General features: G+C 35.9%; 1 annotated feature.

Moving 5' to 3' along the window:
• Positions 207-1,406: an enhancer, noted in NCBI's record as "P300/CBP strongly-dependent group 1 enhancer chr21:26479627-26480826 (GRCh37/hg19 assembly coordinates)". NCBI's record gives its function as "activates an origin of replication core promoter dependent on BRD2, BRD4, P300/CBP, MED14 and CDK7 cofactors, with strong dependence on P300/CBP, by STARR-seq in HCT116 cells {active_cell/tissue: HCT116}" and the evidence as "EXISTENCE:reporter gene assay evidence [ECO:0000049][PMID:35650434]".

Here is a 4,577-nt window from a genome sequence, read left to right as displayed (position 1 = left end):
AAGGCAAAAATATGGGTAGCCTATGCACCCCATTTACGGTTGGCCTCTGAAGTCAGGGGCAGTCTTGTGGAACTGAGTCCTTAACACATAGGATCTGATGTTAACTCTGGGTAATTAGTGCCGGAATTAAATGGAATTATCGGGCACCCAGTTGATGTTAGAAATTAGTCAATTGGTATTGGAAAGATAGAGCAGCAAATATTTGCTTGAAGTGGGGGAAAAAAACCCTCATACCCCTGATCAATAAAAAATTATAAATTAGTTTGTCTAGTAATAAAACTGCCATTGCAAAATTATACCTGAGACAATTAAAGAGATCTGATCTAACCAACTCCATCTTGCTTTTCACTTTCAAGCTGGCCTTGTTCATTCCTTAGCATAGGCCAAACTAACTTTTGGAGTAACTTAGTTTATAGTTTATAGTTTGAAACAAGGATGCTAACAGTCCTTTCCCAAAACAATCCCCCTTCTTGTCTGGGGACTAGATTGCCTTTGCAGGACTAATAAATTAGCCAAAATTTGTTAGAATTTGGATTAGAAATTATGGTTTAGGAGTCACGCAGCCGGAGGCGACAAGAGTCTGACCCTCCCCAAATTGCTCCAGAGGATGACATCACTATTGTAAAACTTAAGATCAGTGCTTGAGATATTTTCAAGACCCTGCACTTGATGGATAACCTGGCATCGCCCAGATGGATCAACTCGCTTATCTGATCTTGTGACCCCCTACCCAGGAACTGACTCAGCACAAGATGACAGCTTAGACTTCCTATGTCTTCATCTCTGACTCAACCAATTAGCACTGCTGACTCACTGGCTTCCCACCCACTAAACTAGCCTTAAAAACTCTGATCCCTGAATGCTCCAGCAGACTGATTTGAGTAATAATAAAGCTCTGGTCTCTAGCACAGCTGGTTCTGCATGAATTACTCTTTCTCTATTGCAATTCTCCAGTCTTGATAAATTGACTCTGTCTAGGATGTGGGTAAACTGAACGCATTGAGTGGTTACAGTAACTTCATTGACTTTTCCTTGAGAAAAGAAATTGTTAAGTGACCTTAATATAATTTATTTTGTATCATCGAAAGTGCCACAAAGTGAAATGATAGAGCTAATTCATGGATTTCTTTAGCATTTAACTAAGCCTCTACTATATGCTGAAAACACCACAAAGTCTTAGAAATAAAAAACAACAACAACAACAACAAAACAGTCTCTGATGTTTAGAATTCACAGTGTAGCATGTGAAACAAACATCTAAGCAGATACTGTACAATGGACTGAGGTAAGTGAAAAGGCAGATAGGCACAAGGTTGTAAAGAGCCCAGAGAAAACCATTGGAGTCCTAAGGGTAGAGGAAAGTCACTAGGGCATAGAGTGGAGAGGTAAATGAGACAGTGAGACAGGAGCTGGAGGTAGAGAAGATGGAGAGAAGGGGAACACAGCCCTGTCCTGCATGGAAGGTCAAATCTGTATTGTATGTAGTTAAGGGTCTCTTTAGGGTCAAAGTTTCCCTCATTTCAAAGGATAGAAAATGGCTTACTAGATGTGAGATAATTGGAAAGTAGTTCTGGTAGAAATTGGTTGGGTGAAGTGGTCTGGGATCTTGAATCTAGGTAATGCTTGGCTCCAGATTACTGGCCACCTTGGATAACAGAGAGTGGAATAAAACCAAATAGATAAAGCCAGATAGCAAGAAGCAAGTTATTCTGCAAATGTCCTGTGTTTTCTGTGTAATATATGCAGGCAATGAATTAATACAAACTCCTGGTCTTTTGAGGATGTTTGCCACATTTCAAGTATACCATAAAGCATAATTCCCTAGATAATTTCTCGAGTCACTGTGACAATGCCCGCAAAATAGCAACTTGATGAATGGAAGTTGCTGGGCTATTCATGACCCAACGGACTTTTGTACACAGGCTGCATTTCCCAATTTCAGACAAGATTGGACATATTCAGGGTAGTACGCCATAGACAATACACTATTTCAAATAACACACAGATTACTTTCAGGTTACTTTGAAAATACATAGTCAATAATGAGAAAGACATATCTGTGCTTCTGATGAACTATTGTACATAATATAAATTTGATATAAAATGTTTATTCCCACATCATTTAAAAATAAATTCATTATTAATAGTAATATAAAATTTGATATTAGATGTTTGTCCTATTTAAGAATATAAAATAATCCAATATGGCATCTTACTTGTATTGAAAGTTATTGATTTTTCACCAAAGTAGACAATAGAAAAATGTGATTCTATCCATGAATGTGACTATACTTTCTATTACATCTTTAAAGTTCCAAATGTTATGTGGGTATTTCACTAAACAACCAAGTAAATTAAGTATTATATATGTGCTGATTTACATATGATGAATTCTTATTAAGCAGGATATAAATGAGCCTCAACTATTGCAAAAATTATGGCTTTAATATGACAATTTTTTTGGTAAAAACTTGCTTAATCAGATATCAAAGAGATACTGACATTTTATTCAAGTGTATTAAGAATATTGTAGGTATACTAGCTCTTCTTCTAAACTTAAACCCTCCAGACACTCTGTTCCACCCCCATGGATCTCATTTCATCAATTATTTGATGTCATCAGCTTTTCCTGATCTATTGTCTTCCTTCCACTAGTGGTTCAACATATTCAAGTTTCTTTCCTTAAGAAAAAATTAAAAGTTAGAGTTTTTCAAAACATAGATATAATCTGATGCTACCTCAACTTCAGAGCATTCAATGATTCTCTCTTCCTTGAGATAAAGTGCAGTGTATTTTACTCAGTCATAGTTAGGGATGTTTTAACAAAGTACCATAGCAGACCTTCATTTATAAATAGCAGATGTTTATTTCTCACAGTTTGGAAGGCTGAGAAGTACAAGAGCAAGGCACTGGCAGATTCAGTGTATGATGAGGGCTCTCTTCTGGGTTGCAGGCTGTTGACTTCTTGTTGTTTCTTCACTTGATAAAAAGAGAACAAGAGAGCTCTCTGGCCTCTTCTTACATAGGCACTCACCCCATTCATGAGGGCTCTACCATCATGTCTGATTATCTCTTCAAAACCCCACCTCCGAACACCACCACACTGGGGGTCAACATTTCAATTGTTAACTGGGAGTTAACAATTTTGGAGAGACTAAAGACTCAGTGCATTGCATTCAGTATGTAGCTTGAGAGCTCTTCAGATGTGGTGCCAGCATGCCTCTCAATATTTCCACACTGTATGTTTCATCTATCCTGAATGACTTTCCTTTCCTCCTGTGTGCCACACTGTCTCCTGGCTTTTACCCATTTCAGCTCCTGTGTCTAGAATTCACTACGGGAATTTTCTCTTGGTTGATGTTTTACACATTCCTCCCATTTCTGCTTAGATATCCCTTCTAGAACACTTTCTCTAACTCTTCACAAACTGGGTTATGCGCTTTTCCCCAGGTTACCTCATCAAAGGGGACAAAAAGAACATTAGCACCATAAGAATAGACTTTGACATAAGATAGTGCCAATGATTCCTCACCACTTTCATTTGTAACCATGTCTTGTCTGTATTTGCCTGTTTCCTCTTCTAAATTGATTTTTAAAATTATGTTTTCAAGTTTAAAGAAAATTTCTAGTGGAAGTTTGATTGGAAATTTCTAGTGGAATGCTAAACCTATAAATAAATTTGGGTAGAATTTGCATCGAAAAATATGTTGTCTATTCAGCAAAACAGTTTATTGCTCCATGTATTGAAGTAAACTTTTTTGTTTTTTTTACTGTTATTTGAAGACAAAGAATAAATATATATCTAACTATACATATACACACATAGCTGTTTGTATGTGTGTGTGTATATATGTGTGTGTGTGTGTGTCTATGTATGTGTATATATGTATATTTGAATTTACCCTAATTTCTATTTAATTGTCTGTATTTGTTACCAGGTCATTTTTAGTGAGTGCAAATATATATCTATATTTGCCTCTAGTATTCTTGGCATCTACTACAGTAAGTGACACATAGTTTTCTACATGAAATATTTATTTTATGTAATAAATAAAGGAGACAGGAAAGAGGGAAGGAAGGGAGGAAGGAGGGAAGGAAGGAAGGAACAAAGGAGGGAGAGAAGGAAGGAGGGAGGGAAGAAAAGCAGGAAGAAATTCTATAAAGTCAAATTTTGATTTACTTTACATTCAGACTACTCATTAGCTTGGAAATAACTTTATTTTTATTGTTTAATCCAAGAACATGACCTGTATGTCTGCTTATTTAGTTTTCCTTTATATATATCTACTCAGTTTTACAGTTTTCTTCATAAATATCTAAACCTTGATTTTTGCTGGGTTAAACTTCTTAGCTTCCTATGTATTTTTAGATAATTCTCAAGGATTTAGGTGTAAAATTAAAACATGTATGCTATTAATTTTTCCACTGTCCAACTGCTTATTTCATTTCCTTTCCATATTGCTTTGCAGAAACTCTATAATGAAGATAAACAAAAATAAATACCAGAGCCTTCAAAAATTATTAATGGGAAAGTTGGGAAAAAACAAAAGCACCCTATTTAAACATAGCTACAGTTG

Source organism: Homo sapiens, chromosome 21 (assembly GCF_000001405.40).
Source record: "Homo sapiens chromosome 21, GRCh38.p14 Primary Assembly".
Lineage (NCBI taxonomy): Eukaryota > Metazoa > Chordata > Mammalia > Primates > Hominidae > Homo > Homo sapiens.
Note: the sequence above shows the minus strand (reverse complement) of the source record. Positions and strands in the feature narration are given on the sequence as shown.